The 18,741-nt window shown below is 40.1% G+C and overlaps 1 protein-coding gene across 27 annotated transcripts in view, besides 1 other annotated feature; it reads left to right on the top strand.

The window, feature by feature from the left end:
• TBC1D1 (TBC1 domain family member 1) overlaps nucleotides 1-18,741 on the top strand; it is a 248,090-nt gene that overhangs the window by 125,650 nt on the left and 103,699 nt on the right. For 17 of the 27 annotated variants that reach the window (XM_005262646.4, NM_001396959.1, NM_001253912.2 and 14 more), the window contains 4 exons: nucleotides 1,621-1,710; nucleotides 3,858-3,962; nucleotides 4,853-4,985; nucleotides 11,055-11,146. In XM_005262646.4, coding sequence (XP_005262703.1) covers nucleotides 1,621-1,710; nucleotides 3,858-3,962; nucleotides 4,853-4,985; nucleotides 11,055-11,146 — 420 coding nt within the window. Of the gene's footprint in view, nucleotides 1-660; nucleotides 721-1,620; nucleotides 1,711-3,857; nucleotides 3,963-4,852; nucleotides 4,986-11,054; nucleotides 11,147-18,741 lie in introns of all 27 variants that reach the window. The other 10 variants (XM_011513659.3, XM_011513660.4, XM_011513662.4 and 7 more) reach the window with 1 other exon arrangement.
• Nucleotides 3,629-4,828: an enhancer, noted in NCBI's record as "BRD4-independent group 4 enhancer chr4:38021983-38023182 (GRCh37/hg19 assembly coordinates)". NCBI's record gives its function as "activates an origin of replication core promoter dependent on BRD2, P300/CBP, MED14 and CDK7 cofactors, and independent of BRD4, by STARR-seq in HCT116 cells {active_cell/tissue: HCT116}" and the evidence as "EXISTENCE:reporter gene assay evidence [ECO:0000049][PMID:35650434]".

The following is an 18,741-nucleotide window of genomic DNA, read 5'->3' on the forward strand; positions in this document are numbered from 1 at the left end:
TGGTGCGTAGAGATGGGGCTGGGACTGGAGGCAGCCCCATGAAAGTTGTTTTCATCAGGCACAACTTTATGGGTCTTGGTCAGGGTTTTGTTTTTTATCCTGAAAGGAGTGGGCAGTCACTGCATGCTATAAAACACAGTGTGAAATATCTTTGGCTACAGAGCCAGGATACTTGGGGGAGGGCAAGAGTAGGATGGGGAGGGGAGTGAAGCTGTTGTAGTAGTCCAGGTGAGAGATAGTGGGGTTGTGGTAAGTGCAGTGGGAGTGGAAGGGACAGACATGCAGAAAGTCAAATTAATGGGATGTACAATCCTTTGGATGCCATGGGGAAGGAGAGGGATCTCAGGAGCCCCACCCAACTTTGGATTCTGACTTGCTCTTTACAACCCAGCCATAGCTAAGTAATAATGCCTTGGAGCCTCTCACCTTATGAGATTTTCAAAGGTTATTTTTAAAAATAAGTAAGGACTATCTTCATTATGTAGGTAAAGACAGTGACTTCTAAAGAGACTAAACATACTCCAAATAGATACTTATTCGTTGTTTACAAATAAGGAGGATATTGTGTTGGCTCCTACTCTAGAGAGAGACACAGTCTAGTTTAGAAAGATGTTGCATGTTAAAAATGAATTAGTTTTTCATCATCCTTGGTCTCCACAGAAGGACAAGAGTAAAAGGCTACCTGCCACTCTCTGCTGGCTGAAATACAGTTCAGAAACAGTAAGTGTGCAAAAACAATTCAGAATGCAAAGTCCTTGCCCCAAACAGAATGCACGTTTCTTGGGCCCCCTCATTGAGAGTATAATTCCCCTTGACTTACACCCCAGTTTCCAACAAGCTTGTGTATCTGATTTGTATTTTACATCAAAGCGTAAAGAGTTTAGAGGAGGAGATGGGTCTGGGAGTTAAGAATGGCAGCGTCAGGATGTGACCACTGACTTCTTGGTCCTGAGGAGAAACTAAAGCTGTAGAAACCAACACACACTGAAACCCAAGAAGCTTAGCGCTCCAGAGACGAGGAGTCTAAAAGGCAGCCTTTCACAGCCTGCAGGGGCGTGTGCACACAGAGTAGGTTGGGTATTGCAACACAGCAGTCTCCTATAATGCATGTCTATTAGCATGTCCCAAGGCAGTAAGAGGATTGTAATTGATGCTCATACTCTAACTTGAAAAGGTCCGGTCACTAGTGTATGTGAATGCCTCACATGTAATATGTACTAAACAAATGGTAGATTCTTTTAACAATAATTTAAAAAGACTTGTCAGTAAAAATCATTCAAAAGTATCTTGGAAGCTTTGAAAGAGTAGATTCTGTTTTCTGGAAGGTTCACTTATGCGGAGACCTCAGTTTTTAGGGGGATGTGTGGATCTTGAGGCCTATTGCTAACTTTTGGATATCTGGTTCTTTCATCTCAAGGAAGATGGCTGTCTTATCTAGGTGAAGGCACTAATAGATGTGTCTTATGACCTGAAATCCAGAGGATAAGAGGGGACCTTTGAAATGATTTCTACGATGATAGAGTCAGAATTTTATAGGAGCTTGTCCCTTTTATTCTTTATTTTCATAGGTCATGAAATGAGAAAGTTTGAAAAGCTAGATTTTTTTGTTTGTCTTTTAAGATTGGCCAGTCTGAAGTTTACCTCATCAGTCCTGACACCAAAAAAATAGCATTGGAGAAAAATTTTAAGGAGATATCCTTTTGCTCTCAGGTAAATGGAGATGGGTTTTTTTATTCAATTGCAATGGAATTTTTAAATGAATTTCTATAATATCTATCATGTAACAAATGCTAAAGGTTACAAGGTGTATGTTTTCTAAGTACTGTACTTGATTTGTGTTTCGCTTTTCTTCTTTGCTTTGGTATGTTAAGGTAAATTATGAATATAATTTTGAAATTAAGAAATTTGCTCTTAGCAACAGTAATGGACAAAATAGATCTACTTTTAATTTTCTCAGTTATTGGTAGTAATAATCCACAGTCATGACTTCCAGATGCACATGTGTGTGTCTTTGTGCATATTACACATATATATTTACACATTTCACACAAATATATCTTTTTATTAGATATATTTCTACTTTACAAAAATTTGTAACTTTTTTGGGTACCAATTGTCAGTATTCTCCCTTCAAATATAGATAGTGCTTATCTTTGACATATATATTTACACATTTCACACAAATATATCTTTTTATTAGATCTATTTCTACTTTACAAAAATTTATAACTTTTTTAGGTACCAATTGTCAGTATTCTCCCTTCAAATATAGATAGTGCTTATCTCAGAGTACAGTGTCTACTTGAAAACTTTTTTCTTGATAATCTTCCAGGTGTTTCATAGAGGGATTTTGGAAGAATCTATCAATTAAGATTAGCTGTGCCAGTTTTACTCAGGATCTTCCTAACAAATATGAGATCACTTAAGGTTATATTTGCTTTTTTTTTTAAACTCTGGATTTTTCATTTTCATAATTGATAAAATATGAAAATGTCAGTGTTGATTTATAATGTGATCTACTTAAATATTCAAAAGGGACTTTTCTGCAAAATGTGAAAATAAAGAATGTTCTTTACAGATTGAATAGGGAACCATTTACAAAGAAAAAGCTTTGCTAAATCATATTTCCTTAAGTGGTAGCCTTATGCTTAACTTGCTACTGGAGAAGATTAATTGAGATGGCAAAGCATGTTAATGATTGCTCATTTATTGGAAAATATTTGGCCTGAAAGTGAGATTACCCATAGAGTTTTTAATCCTGATTTGCTGCTATTTCTGTTGAAATATGAATGTTAAATGTTTACATTTTTGTGTGATAGCTTTATAATTTCCTAAAGAGTGTAGTTTACAAGTTTATATGATTACCTGAACATTAAGCTATCAGCACTCACATCTCTGCATGATGATGCTTTCAGAATACATTGATGTATTAATATTTATGGCAGACGTTTTATCTGTATTAAGGTGCCTCTGATAGCTGATGATTTTAAAACACATTTACATATTAATATTTATTAAAAATAGCTCTTATGATACCATGGTAGAGCCTTGGCCTAATATGTTTAAAAGCTCCTCTACTCTGTGTGCATGTAATTTTTGACTCTTTCTTTATTCCAGTTCACTTCAGTATTTACCTACTTATTTTAGGAATACAAATATATTTTAAATATTTTTTTAACCTTTGGGTGTGTATGTGCTTAGTTGTGTTTCTTCATGAATCTCTGGTCTGCCTTTGATTTTTTGAGTGGTTTTTATTCTTTAATACCTATGTCTCAAACAAAACAACAAACAAATACTAAAATGAGCACTAAAACTTGAATTTTCAGATCTTATTTTTCTTATTGTTGTGGGAGTAATCAAAGGAACATTCTAGTAAACCAACTTTATTTGAGATGTTTTTAGACTTTTTGAAATTTTAAAATATCAGAGAAAATAGTAATTTCCTAGTGTTTTTTAAAATTGTGCTGTGTAGGCCAGGCGCAGTGGTTCACGCCTGTAATCCCAGCACTTTGGGAGGCTGAGGTGAGTGGATTACCTGAGGTCAGGAGTTCGAGACCAACATGGTGAAACACCATATCTACTAAAAATACAAAAATTAGCCGGGTGTGGTGGTGCATGCCTGTAATCCCAGCTACTCAGGAGGCTGAGGCACGAGAATCACTTGAACCCTGGAGACAGAGGTTGCAGTGAGCTGAGATTGTGCCATTGTACTCCAGCCTGGGCAACAAGAGTAAAATTCCATCTCAAAAAGATAATAAAAAGTAAAATAAATTGTGCTGTATAAATCTTGAGGTGCATTTCTGAGGATGGTGCGTCTTCTGGATACAACTGAACATCTCGTTCTCTCCCTTTGGCAGGGCATCAGACACGTGGACCACTTTGGGTTTATCTGTCGGGAGTCTTCCGGAGGTGGCGGCTTTCATTTTGTCTGTTACGTGTTTCAGTGCACAAATGAGGCTCTGGTGAGAGAGGACAAGCAATTCTTACCTTGGAACCTTCTTTACAAGGAATTTTAGCTCCACTGATTTTTCTGTCCTTAGGGAAAACCAGATGGTCATTGACATATCATTATTTGTCTTTAGTTATTTACTTATGACTATTTAGTAAGCAGCTAATACACATCTGAAGCTTAATTGGCTGTGCATTTTATATTTTTTATTTCTGAAGAACTTGTTTAGTGTCACCTTCTGGTCTAGCATTTTACAATGTCATTTTAGACATCTGATCAAAGGAGTTTGCCTTTTTTCTCAGTAGTTTGTATTTTTAGTTTTTACTGTATCAGTCTGTTCTCACACTGCTAATAAAGACATACCTGACACTGGGTAATTTATAAAGGAAAGAGGTTTAATGGACTCATAGTTCCACATGGCCAGCGAGGCCTCACAATCATGGCGGAAGGTGAAGGAGGAGCAAAGGCACATCTTACATGGCAGCAGGCAGGGCAGCGTGTGCAGGGGAACTGCCCTTTATAAAACCATCAGATCTCGTGAGATTTATTCACTATCATAGAACAGCACAGGAAAGACCCACTCCCATGATTCAATTACCTCCCACTGGGTCCCTCCCATGACATATGGGAATTATGGGAGCTACAATTCAAGATGAGATTTGGGTGGGGACACAGCCAAACCATATCATTTACCTTACCTGCTTTAAGAGCTTTGAGCATACTTGTAGTATTTTCAGACTGTAATCCTAGCTGTTATTCCAATTATTATCTGTCAACCTGTGAAGAGTAGTACAGAAAACTCTTAAAGCTTAAAAAATCTTTTCCAAAGATTTTCTGACATCTCAGCCCAGCTAATTTCAAATTGACTTTTTGGTGACTACAACTTCTCTTCTCTTTGATTAGGTTGATGAAATTATGATGACCCTGAAACAGGCCTTCACGGTGGCCGCAGTGCAGCAGACAGCTAAGGCGCCAGCCCAGCTGTGTGAGGGCTGCCCCCTGCAAAGCCTGCACAAGCTCTGTGAGAGGATAGAGGGTGAGTAGGGGACCCTTTCCAGCATGAACACAGTGGGAGTTAAAGGTCCCAGGAGAACTTTAGATGATACTCATCTGTTGGAAGATTCTGCCTAACAGAGGCTTGTATTAGTCACAGGGATTGTAGGTGGACTCTCAGTGTGCAGTGGGTGTCTTCTGTATGTCAGGAATTGTGCCGGATGCTGGTGATACAAAGATAAGAACCCAGAACCCCCTTCTGCCACCTCCCTCCAAGGTATTCTGAGGATGGAGGAGGAGTTAGGGAAACAGGTTACCAAACCGGTTGCCTAGTGTTTATCAAGGTTGTGTGAGTGGTCAGTCATACTGGGCACTGCAGAGATATCTAGAAAGATAAGAACTAAGGAACTTGTACCAGTTTCTCCATTACAAGGTCATTAGTAACGTCTGCTAGTACAGTTTGGATGGAGAGGAGGTAGCAGAAAACAGGTTGCAGTTGAGGAGCAAATGGGAAGAAATCAAAGAAACGGTGACTATTAGTATTGACCAGTATTTCTAGAAACCTGGCTTAGGGAGAAACTGTAATAAATGTTATGATTTGTAGCTAACGTGTATTGAATAAGATCTGCCAGGAAGTGTATTAGGTGCTTTCTGTTATCTATTTAATCCTCATCACATTTGTGGGAGGAAAAGGGACTATTTATTTTGCACATATTGCAGATAAGTAAATTGAGGATTAGAGATGTCTAGGAATAAACTAGTGTATAGTGAGCCCATGATTCACCCCAGGCGGTAAAGCCCTGTTACCTGCCACCAACCATTTCCAGGAGAAGGCCATACTGGAGAAAGACCTGGGGATTGCAGCTAACTTTGTCTTTTTCAGAATTGGAGGGTTTGAGTGAATTCAGAGCCCAAGGGGCCAGAGGGGCCGAATGAATCCGAATGGAATGGTGGGGGTTCCTCTTGAACAAGAGTGGGGAGTCCACCTGAGGCAGGAAGTGAGAGTTTCTGTCTCTGTGACTGCAGGGAGGGGCCAGGGGAGAGGACAGAACCAGGTGACAGTGAAAGGGAGTGGTGATATGTTTATCTGAAGGCATCTGGAAGGTGAAGGAGTTTTCACCACTCTGTTCTTGATTTTGTGTTTTTGTTCTGTTTATGGGAGGATTTCTAAAAATTTTTTTGTGACTTGTGGAGGTCACATGATTTAAACAACCCATGCTATTGTGAAAAGAAAACAAAAATTTGATCATTTCTCATGTTTGTAGAATGTTTATTATACACCTGTAATTCCAGCGCTTGGGGAGGCTGAGGTGGGCAGATCACTTCAGGCCAAGAGTTCGAGACCAGCCTGGGCAACATGGTGAAACCCTGTCTCTACGAAATACAAATACATCTCAAATACGTTTCTACTAAATACAAAAATTAGCTGGGTGTGGTGGTGTGTGCCTGTAATTCCAGCTACTTGGGAGGCTGAGGCAGGAGAATCATTTGAGCCCGGGAGATGGAGGTTGCAGTGAGCCGAGATTGTGCCGCTGTGCTCCAGCCTGGGCAACAGAGCGAGATGTCTCAAAAAAAAAAAAAAAAGGAATATTTATTATAAGCTATAAGTTTGCAAAGAAAGCATTGTTATTTAGATCCAATTTTCCTTTTTAAAAAAATATAGTAAAAACATATGTAACACAAAATTTACCATCGTAACCTTTTTGTAAGCATGCCCTTCATTGGCATTAAGTCCATTCACATTGTTGTACAGTCCTCACCACCAGCATCTCCAGAACTTTTTCATTTTCCAAAACTGAAGCTCATTAAATGCCAACTCCGCTCCTTCTCAGCCTCTGGCAACATCTGTTCTGTTTCTAGGTAACTTCATATAAGCAAAGTCATAAAATATTTATCTTCTTGTTTCTGGTTTATTTCACTTAGCATAATGTTTTCCAGATTCACGTGTATTGTAGCGTTGTCTGAATTTCATTCCTTTTTAAGGCTGAATGGTATTCCATTCCAAAAGTGTGTCCACATTTTGTTGATCCATTTACTCGTCCGTGGACATTTGGGTTCCTTCCCCCTTTTGACTGTTGTACTAATAATGCTGCTATGAATGCTGACGTGCAAATATCTGTTGAAGTTCCTGCTTTCAATTCTTTCGGTTATATATCCAGAAATGAAATTGCTAGGGTATGTGGTAATTTTATGTTTAATTTTTTTGAGGAACTGCCGTATGGTACCACAGTGGCCACACCATTTTACAATCCCACTGGCAGTGGGTAAGGACCCCAGTTCCTTTACGTCCTCGCAAGATTTGCTACTTTCTGTTTTTGTTTTGTTTTGTTTTTGATGAAAGCCATCGAGATAGATGTGAAATGGTATCTGGTTTCCCTTTTTAAATGAGATAAATTAACAATTGACATCTTAAGGTCTGGGAAGGGTCATTTGTAGCATTACAGTGCTCTTTAAAATGAAGAAACATGATTAATATATTCAACTGTGTTTTCCACGTTGTTACTATTTGCTGACATTATACAAAATATATCTGGGAACAAGAAAATGTTTGCTTTAACTAGAGTTCCCAACTGAGAGGATCACTAACCCTTTCCTTAATGGTTGTCAAGATAAGGTAAATGATGATAGAAATGCCCCTTAAGAGCTTATTAAAAAGCCAGCAGTGACTTTGGCCTTGAAGATAAAGCAGAGCACGATCTGCAGGAACTGGAATGCTTCCAGAGCTCCCCTTGATAAATCTTTCTTTGGTCTGGCTTAGTTTTGAGAAAGTTACAGCTGAAAAGTTTGATCAGGGTAGGGATTTTGCTGCCGTCGTTTTGGAATTAATCATTTGATCCATCTATCACCTGATAAAATCCAACCAAGGCACAAAACTCTACTAACATGAGAACATTCTTAAATAGTGCAATTAGAAGTCTGGTGGGGGTATGTTTTACCTACATGATGGAACTCATTTCTAAAAGTGTAGAAGAAGTGCATTGTTAGTAGAAGAAGTGCTAGTTATTACATAAACAGTTTTAGGGTTCCTTGCTTTTTGTTATTGTATTCCTAATAAGTAGAATAAAGTGGCTTGTTAAAACTCATTGTATGTTGGTGTAAAAGTAGTTCTAGCAGGAAGTTATATGGTCTGATCAAGAACTCTGTAAAACTGTGGAGAGGATTAGTGATGTGGCCACACAAAGAAAGACTTAAAAGACTATGTTTTCTTAATCAGTAAGTGTAGTTAAGTCATCCCCCAGAATCTATAAGATAGAATCAATAACGCTGTTGATGTTGATTAGCTGCACTCTGCTCTAATTGCAACATATCAGAAGTGCAGCTCTACCCAGTTCTGTATTTGAATCATATACAACTCAGTGGTATTTATATAGTATTTTGCTTATTTTAAAAGAGGAGCATTCATTAAAAAAAATAGTTGAACTGAGATTTTCTTTTGCTCTCAGAGCAAATTTTCCTTCAGTAAAACACAGTCATTCATCACCGCTCTCTCTAACAAGGGCCGTTTCTGCACCGCCAGGGAGGCGGCCTCACTGACCAGAGGAGCCAGGAGGGGTTGTAGTTTGGAAACTCTCTTGATGCTGGTTACCTTTTCTGCTTCGGTCCTGGCTTCCCATTCCCTCCATAAGCCATTTTGGCATCACCTGGGCCTCTCTGAGGAGATGCGTTCAGTGGGGAACTGAAGGGTGCTTTCAGTGGGTGTACAGAAACCACCCAGGAGGGGCTAGCTGTGTGAGAATCCCTGGGGGAGGAACTCGGACCTAGGCGGGCCGGCTATTTAGAGATGGGACCAGAAGGACCTCATGAATTAGGCATCCTGCAGACAGGGTGAAATTGCCCAGAGGATTGCTTCACAGCTGCCGAAGCGAAGAATAAGCTGCATTTCGTGATTTCACCTGAGATTGGCAGAGTGTCGAGTTAGTCTAACTCTTCTTAAGCCTTGGGGTTTATTCTCCACATCTGAATGTTTCATGAAACAATATCGTTTTTCCAAAATATGATACTTCGGCTGTCAGAGATGTCCTTCATATGTGGGGGGGATTTTTAGTGCATGATGACTTAGTGCTTATTTGATTCATAAATCTTAACTCTGTTTCGCTTCGGCATTTAAGTAGTTGATACAGTAAAGCCTTGTCTGTTTCCCTGGCTTCATGTGACCTGACAGCTTGCTGAAAGAGTGACTGCATTGCACTTTGACAAAGGCGCCATCCTTCCTGCACTTTAACCCACCTCTAAGCTTGCTCTTGTATTGCAGCCACCTGAGTGTCAGGCGACTTGGCTCTGCTAGTCAGGGAGGGCAGTGGAGCAGTTAAGGGTTTGGTTGCCGGAGGCAACTTACTTAGCTGATGACCTTGGACAAAATACTTCGATGTGCCTCAGTTTCTTCAGGTGGGCATTGAGATTACTTAAAAAAAAAAAGGCCCATTTCTAATATTCATTTTAGGGTGAAATGAATAATGCACATAAAGTGTTAAGTGAAGTGGCATAGTAGCAGTCACTTAAATATTATTTCTGTGGTGGCTTCAGGGTTTTCCTGGGTTAAAAAAAAGGGAAAAAGAATGTCTTTCTGGAAGCAGAGATGGCTGCAACAGTGTGATAGGAGCAGCCACCTCTGCCACAGTCCCAGCCTACTTAGAGGTTGTGGGCTCTGCCTCAGCTGCTGTGGGAGGGGAGGAGCCGTGGCTTTGGGCAGGCGTGGCTGCCGATGGGCCTCCTGGCCTTTCACAAGTCACCTGGCTTCTCTGGGCATCAGCAAATCCATCTGTAAAATGAAGGCATGGTTTCCAAGTCCCTGGCTCAGCAGATTTCCCTCCCTGCCATCCGTAGTGATGTAGGTGCCTCGCACACTGTTCTCCAGCCCAGAGCCTTGGCCAAGCCTCTGCCTCAGGGCCACCCTGGTAGGATGAGAAGAGAGTGCCAGGTGGGTGAGGCAAGAGCTGCCCTTGGAAGAAAAATAACCCATGCTTTTTTTTTCTTTTCATGGCAGTTGGGTCAGCATATCCTTTCATTATCAACCGTCTCATCATGTGTGACATTTATCTCTGGATACCAAGAAAAGGCAGTGCAGGCTCTAAGCCGTATTTGTGTGGGGAAGGAACTTCTTGAAATATCGGGTTCTAATGGGTACTAAAATTATGTAATGACTTTATTTTTATAACTTTTCCTCAAAACTCTTTGTAACATTAATTAAATGTAATGTTAATGAAGTTATTAATAAGCATGTGGTGGTATAAGAAAAATTGTTAGCCACATGCATCAATTTTCCGTGATGGGAACCTGGTATGCAAGAGAAATGTGGGTCAGTTTTCCAACAGAATAGGAGTTGTTTTTTCCTAAGAAAAAGTTGTCAGGTTTACATATCAACACAAGAATTTATCATTTTCTGAGGAGAAGGTTCTGATTACGTGAGGTGTTTTAACATGGAGAAAGTAATTTGGAGCCACACAAACCTGAGGTAGAGTCCAAATTATTGGTCTGTGGAATGACGTAAGCTCTCTGGGTCTTAGTTTTCTTAGCTGTAAACTGGGGATAATAGCATCCTCTTCATCAGATTGTTTTGAGAATTAAATGGTGCAAGCTTAATGCCTATTATACAGTGTCTAGCACATCAGAGCTCAGAAGATGATGACAAAGATAACAGTGACACTATTATCGATGAAAATTTCCACGCCAAGCACAGTGGCTCACGCCTGTAATCCCAGCACTTTAGGAGGCTGAGGTGGGCGTGTTGCTTGAGCTCAAGAGTTCGAGACCAGCCTGGGCAACATGGCGAAACCTTGTCTTTTAGTAGACTAAAAATACAAAAATTAGCTGGGCATGGTGGCATGCACCTGTAGTCCCAGGTACTGGGGAGGCTGAAGTGGGAGGATTGCTTGACCCTGGGAGGTTGAGGCTCGCATAATCAGTGAGCCGTGATTGCACCACTGCAATCCAGCCTGGGTGACAGAGTGGGATTCCATGTCAAAAAAAAAAATAAAATATTTTTTTATTTCCTAAAACCTTGGAAGTCTGAAGTGGAAGAGAATGTGAAGGGGATGTGTGTGGAAGAGGTTAACTCCCTATCTCACAACTTTTATATAGAATTTTTTCATGCCTCTCTTTTTTCTCTTAATAGGAATGAATTCTTCCAAAACAAAACTAGAACTGCAAAAGCACCTGACGACATTAACCAATCAGGAGCAGGCGACTATTTTTGAAGAGGTTCAGGTACAGTACAGTTGCTAATTTCTAGAAGGAAAGAAAAGGCAGGCAGCTTACCTGGGAAATGCTATGTGTAAAAAATAGCAAACCAGTGTTGTCCCAACCTGGGGGAAGGTGCCTTGAGTTCGTCTTGGTTTCAGGGGTGACCAATCTTTTGGCTTCCCTGGGCCACATTGGAAGAAGAAGGATTGTCCTGGACCACACATAAAAGACACGATAGCTGATGAGCTGCTAAAAAAACAAACAAACAAACAAACAAAAAAAACAGCAAAAAAAAAAATCTCATAATGGTTTTTGTTTGTTTGTTTTTTTGACAGAGTCTTGCTCTGTTTCCCAGGCTGGAGTGCAGTGGCATGATCTGGGCTCCCTGCAGTCTCCGCCTCCCAGGTTCAAGTGATTCTTCTGCCTCAGCTTCCTGAGTAGCTGGGATTACAGGAGCACGCCACCACGCCTGGCTAATTTTTGTATTTTTAGTAGAGACAGGCTTTCACCATGTTGGTCAGGCTGTTCTCGAACTCCTGACCTCATGATCTGCCTGCCTTGGCCTCCCAAAGTGCTGGGATTACAGGCGTGAGCCACCACGCCCAGCCCAAAATCTCATAATGCTTTAAGAAAGTTTATGAATTTGTGTTGGGCTACATTCAGAGCCGCCCTGGGCCACATGTTGGACATGCTTGGCTTAAGCTTTCACAGTCTCATAGAGTGTCCAGGTCAGAATTGCAGATTCCCATCAGGCCTTAGCTTAGATAGTAAAACTAAATGAAACAGGCAAGCCTCTTCCTTAAACAAATGTTAGAATAAGAGAGAAGAAATTATAAAATGGAAAGCGCCTCAGGCTGGGAGACAGAAGGTCCGGCCTCTGGTCCGCATGTACTCATCTGTTCCCTGGGAAACCTCTGCCCGCCCCTTCCCGCTTAGGATTTCAGACCTAAGTGTGGGAGTCGAATGAGACAATGTTTGGTACATGAACTTGAACAGAATTCCTTCTTTCCCCCAACACCTTTTTTTTTCATTTTTGAAAATAAATTTAGGTCATGCTGTCTACTTGGAACCTGATAATATATCAAACCTACAAAAACAAAACAAAATTCAAGCTCATCAGCTTTCTGCAATAAACTTGGAAGCTAGCTCTTGCCCTTGCATTTAGATGCAGTGTATCTCGGGGAGACCATGCTGTGTGTGCTGGCATGCCTGTAGCCTGTTCATTATGAATCTTTAATGAGGTCATCCAAAATTTCATGTCTGCTTTAGCTGAGGGGCATTTTCGATGATTCCCTGGCACTTTTTTAGGGAGGGAAGCATATCAAAGAATAAATATCTCCTTTTGAGGGGCGGGCAGCAGGATCTACAAATAGAGGAGCCATTAAACAAAACAAGACAGCTAGCAACTGGGTGGGTTTAAGTGCTTTTCCTTCCTCACTGGGAAAAGACTATACTAGGATCCACGATCTGCTTTCTGTTAGTGTAAAAAAAATGAAAGGATTGTCTCTCTCTCTCTTTGTTGTTTTTTTGAGACAGAGTCTCGCTCTGTTGCCCAGAGCCGAAGTGCAATGGTGCGATCTTGGCTCACTGCAACCTCTGCTTCCCGGGTTCAAGCAATTCTCCTGCCTCAGCCTCCCAAGTAGCTGAGATTTCAGCCGCCTGCCACCACCACACTGCTAAGTTTTGTATTTTCAGTAGAGACGGGGTTTCACCATATTGGCCAGGCTGGTCTCTAACTCTTGACCTTGTGATTTGCCTGCTTCAGCCTCCCAAAGTGCTGGGATTACAGCTGTGAGCCACCACGCCTGGCCGTCTTTCTCATTTTAATCACGTTAGAGGTCTTGTCTTATTCCCTTGTTCTCCTTCTACAGTAGAATTGGCATATGCTTCAGGAAGAGAGCATAGAAAGATGTTTTTTCATGTCTCAAATAGCCTAGAGGGTAATTTTCACAATTTTCATTTGTCTTTGCATTTTCTTGTTTTCTTCTGAATCAACTTGAGACATGCTACTTTGTTTTTTCTTAAAAGATCTTTAGAGTTCTAAGTACACAATACTCTTAGAAAATATACTGTGATTTGCATTTGGAATTCAAAAATGGACAATATGCTTCTGATTGTTAATGCATTTACAATTCAAGTTGGGGCCTTTTTCATCTAATGCTGGCCCACTTACTGTTCTAGAGCTGTCCTGTCACTTTAAGAAACCATCTTTCTATCAAGAATAGAAGAGGAACTTCCCTCTCATAATGTGGGTTTTCTTTTTTGTCTAGACAGCACCACGTAGCTCTCCCTAAAACAGTGTGATGAATCAGTATAGGTAATACACAAAATATTCTTCCGCAGCAATGAGATGTTCCTAATGGATATGATTCCAAGATTCTCTTTGACTCATGCAGGCTTTTAGACACTGAGTACATCATGGTAAAGACACTTTAGAACAGAGTAGATTACGACTAAGGTTTGCTTTAGAAAAAGAGCTTTCAGTTAATATCCTGTGTGTTGTTCTAGAGGTCTCTGTAATTGTTAAGCTGCTCCAGACACCAAAGGGAGGTTGTATTCACCAACTTTGAAAAGCCGGCTCTCGCCTTGTCTTCCATCACTGTGAGTGTGGCTGTTCCTTGAGTGATACAGATTTGTGCATGGATCTTTTATTCTAGAGGCTTGTTAGATGGTCTTGTTGAATTATGTCCTCAATGACCATTCTTGGTTTTATAAAACATTTTATAAACCAAGTCATTGGTTTCATTTTAGACAGCAGTGCCAGCTAATGTGCTTGAAAATCATACATTTCAAAAAGGTTGTAAGGAAAAAGGTGGCTTTGCAGTTTCCTGAGTCTCCTTATAAAATAGAATGGTAAATATTTTCCTTTGTTCAGTCTTTCCTGGAGGGGAATTTGTTTCGGAAAAAGTCCTCTACATGCAAATTTTCATAAGGGAAATGTAATTACCGTTGAAATTAATGGTACGTGATTACTTAGTTATTAAAACATACCTTATTTAAGGATCATGTAAATGAATATTAAATCAAAAAATGGAACTCTAACAGCTATAAAGAAATCACTAATAACTGTGTAAACGATGCTGGAGGTTATCTCTACTGTAAACAAGCTAATTTTGAGCACTCTGAGAACTTAATGCCAGATGGGCATGTGGGCATACCACACTGCAAAGCCATATTTTTATTTATGAGCGTTTTTGAAATGTTTCATTTTCAAACATATCTAGCTGGGCATGTGTTAGGATGACCCCATGATGCTCTGTTACTGGGTGAATATACTAAATCCAAACTGATCATCTCAGGATAAGAATTGCTGTGAAGCCAATGTGGAGCTAGTAAATAAAATATCTCCAAGTCTAATTCTCCTAATCTATATGAGTGTGTTTCAGGGAATGACTTAATTAAATACTGACTAGATAAATCAAGTAGATTTATACTCAGTAGACATTGATAATTCATTAAGTAACATGACTTCACAAGTTAAAGGTTAATGGTCAGAAGAGACTCTTTTTACTTTCTGAAGAATATATATCAGCTTAGTTGGATTTTGCATGGTTTTAAAATGATGTTAGACTGTAGTTTTAAGATGTTAGACTGAAAACTTTAAGTTTTAAGATGTTAGACTGTAGTGTCCAAGTGAGTTTTAAGATGTTAGACTGTAGTGTCCAAGTGAGTGTTGTCTTTTTAAGTAGTTCCCTTAGGAGACCATGGGCTTTCTCAACATTCTGGGATGCATCAATCAGTGTTGGAAATTGATTTATTTATTTATTAATTTTTTTTAAGAGAAAGGGGCTCACTCTGTTACCCAGGCTGGAGCACAGTGGTTATTCTAGGGTGTGATCAGAGCACATTTCAGTTGCGAACTCATGGGCTCAAGCAATCGTCCTACCTCAGCTTCCCAAGTAGCTGGGACTGCAGGTACATGCCACCTTGCCCAGCTGGCAGTTTATATCTGAATTGCGTTTATGACAATTTATAAGCCTCTTATAGGTTAAGAAACATGTAACTAATTTAGTTTTGTTACTTTTAACAGGCGATTAATTATTTTGTAATATTCTTTTATAAATTGAAGTATGACATGCATATAGAAAAGCAAACAAATCAATGATGTATAATTCAGTGAATTTTTATAAGGTATATACAACTGTGCAGCCAGTGCCAAGATTAAGAAATGGAGCATTTCTGGCCAGGCGCGGTGGCTCATGCCTGTAATTCCAGCACTTTGGGAGGCCAAGGCGGGCGGATCACCCGAGGTCAGGAGTTCAAGACTAGCCTGGCCAACATGGCGAAACCCTGTCTCTATGGCAAATACAAAAATTAGCCAGGCATGGTGGTGCGCACCTGTAGTCTCAGCTACTCGGGAGGCTAAGGCATGAGAATCGCTTGAACTTGGGAAGCAGAGGTTGCAGTGAGCCAGGATTGTGCCACTGCACTCCAGCCTGGGGGATAGAGCGAGATGCTGTCTCCCCCAAAAAAAGAAAGAAATGGGGCATTTCCATTGCCTCATAGTCCTGTTTTGTGTCTGCCTCCAGGTAACCATCATCCTGACTTCTGACATCATAGTTTAATTTTGAACAAGCAAGTAATTTTTGATGGCACAGTGATGTTACCCAATTCGATTCCCCATTATTTTCCTAAGACTTATCTCTCTGACTAATGAATGTTCATAAAGTTAAATCACCTTTAAGAAATAATGATTTGGCCCAGAGCAGTGGCTCACGCCTGTAATCCCAGCACTTTGGGAGGCAGAGGTGGGTGGATCACGAGGTCAGGAGATCAAGACCATCCTGGCTAACACGGTGAAACCCTGTCTCTACTAAAAATACAAAAAAATTAGCTGGGTGTGATGGCGGGTGCCTGTAGTCCCAACTATTTGGGAGGCTGAGGCAGGAGAATGGCGTGAACCTGGGAGGTGGAGCTTGCAGTGAGCCCAGATTGTGCCACTGCACTCCAGCTCCAGCCTGGGTGAAAGAGCAAGACTCCATCTCAAAAAAAAAAAAAAAAAGAAAGAAAGAATTAATGATTTGCTACTATCGAGGATGGTGAAGTTGCATGGGAGATTTTAGGGAGGTGACACCTCACTAATTGTATTTCAGAATTACATTAAGGAAAGATTTGTTTCTTGATTGTGTATAACACCATCGACGTTTATTTCTCTGCTTTAGTGACTTCTGTATGATGTTTAACAAGCTCCATGACGCAGTCTCTGATTCTTAATCAGTTTTTAATGAAAAACAACTGTGGTAGTATACTGTTCCCAGTTGGTCTAATTTCCTTCTTTTAAAAGTGTATTTTGAGGGGAAAAATATATTAATACTCCTCCTCTTACTATATGATTAGCCCTTTAAAATATTTTGAAATAGATGATGATGAAGAATTTCTCCAAGCACAATATACATTTTCTTGTGGAGATAGCCAGAAGGTTTAATTAAAGACACAGGAGAAGAAAGAGTGGGCCAACCATCAGGCGCCTGTACCTGCTCAGAGGCCTCATAATTCCTGTCTGTTTCCCTGGATCATTTTTTTTTTAATAGACTTAATTTTTTTTAGAGCAGTTTTAGGTTTACAGGAAAATTGGGTGAAAAGTACAGAGTTCCCGTATTAGCTTTCACTGTCCCCCACCCCACAGTTTCTCCGATTTTTAACATATCTTGCATTACTGAGGGTTTCTTCATTATAATTGATGAGCCAATATTTGTACATTGATATTAACTAAAGTTCATGGTTTACATTTGGGTTCACTGTTGGTGTTCTGTATTCTGTGGGTTGTGACAGATGCTTAATGTCATGTGCCCATCATTACGGTATCATACAGAATAGTTTCACTGCCCTAAAAATCCCCGTGTTCTGCCTGTTCTCCCACCTCCTCCCTAATCCTTGATCTTTTTGCTCTCTCCATAGTTTTGCCTTTTCCAGCATGTCATGTAGTTGGAATCACACAGTAGCCTTTTCAGACTGGCTTCTTTTGCTTAGCAATATGCACTTAAGGTTCTTCCATGTCTCTTTATGGCTTGATAGCTTATTTCTCATTGCTGAATAATACTCAGTTTTATAGATGCACTACAGTTTCTTTACCCATTTGCCGATCGATGCACATCTTAGTTGCTTCCAAGTTTTGATAATTGTGAATAAAGATGCTGTTTTCAGCTCATTTGGGTAAACACCAAGGAGTGCAATTGCTGGGTTATGTGGTAAGAATGTGTTTAGTTTTACAAGAAACTGCTGGCCTGTTTTCCAAAGTGGCTGTACTGTTTTGCATCCCCGCCAACCATAAATGGGAGTTCTTGTTGTTTTGTGGACATTTGGGCTCAGTGTACCCATAACCCTTTGATCTAGCAGTGTTAAGTTGGGATTGTGGCATTACTGCCACTTTCCTTTTTGAGAATCTAATGCCCACTTTCTCCAGAGAAATCCACTTTTTGCATATAACTTGTAAAATTTTGTAATATTGGGGTTCACAGCCTGGAGTCCAGGTTGAGAGTGTCTGCTGTAGCCTCCAAAATATTTAATATTTCAGTCCGAAATTTGAAAGAACAGGAAGGCCTCAATGAAAACAAACCCTTCTAATCATTAACTATCCTTTCCTTAAGTAACAAGAACAACTTACCTTTAATCTTTTTCGTTAAGAAAGGACTGGGTTTCTTTAAGAAAGGACTGTCAGAAAGTCTGGGTTAGTGTTACCTTTGCTTTGAATGCTTATTATGTGCAGGGTAAAGTTGCTTCCTTAGTTAGCTGGGGAAGAAGTGACCAAGAGTGGTGTTGACCCAGATTCAGATCCTTGTGTAGTTGATCCATTTATGTCACTGAATTTGTTTTAAAGAACAGTCTGGAAATTTGGAGTAGGGAGAGGGGAGGAACAGGCAATGGATACTTGTCAACATAAAAAAAGATGTATTTTCAAAATTTATAGACTAAAAACTTTGTGTATCCCAAAACAATTCATTTTACTTTCTTCATATATGATAAAATCATACATTAAATTAGGTGGACTTTAAAAAAATTCACTCTGGCATTTCAAATCCAAAGCATTTGGGAGCAGGAGGAGACCATAGAGTTTCCTCTGTGCACCATCCTCACTTCAGCAGACAGGGAAGCTAGAATTAAGGGGCTTGGCTTCACACTTCTCGGCAGCAGCCGGAACCTACATGTCCTGACTTCTGGTCCAGTGTGCTGTGCCACGACCCTGTCTAAAAGTTAAAAGGCATAGAGAGAATTTTTTTTTTAAAGAAAGAAGAAAGAAATGTACATGCCATGAAGTTTTGTATGGAAGGGGGTGCCCCATGGGGATTCCACAGAGTGCTTCACGGTGAACACATTCGACATAGGAAATTATGACACTGAATCCCGTTGCTGTTTTCCTTGCCCGTTCCCTAAGAGTTTGTCAATGTTTGGTCATCATGGCCCCTGACCTTTGGGTATTTATATGGATTTTGTGTTTTTCCTCTTGTTTTAAAAACTATTTATTTGTTAAACATTTTGACTGTGTCTCTATCTGATATTAAAGATTCATTTTTAGATGGGAGGACATCAGAGATGAAAAGCTAAATCTGGCCCACTGGCTCCACTGTTCCTTTTTAAAAATTCTCTCTACTTTTAGGATCATTGGTGCCCCCTGGTGAGAT

This window comes from Homo sapiens, chromosome 4 (assembly GCF_000001405.40).
Source record: "Homo sapiens chromosome 4, GRCh38.p14 Primary Assembly".
Lineage (NCBI taxonomy): Eukaryota > Metazoa > Chordata > Mammalia > Primates > Hominidae > Homo > Homo sapiens.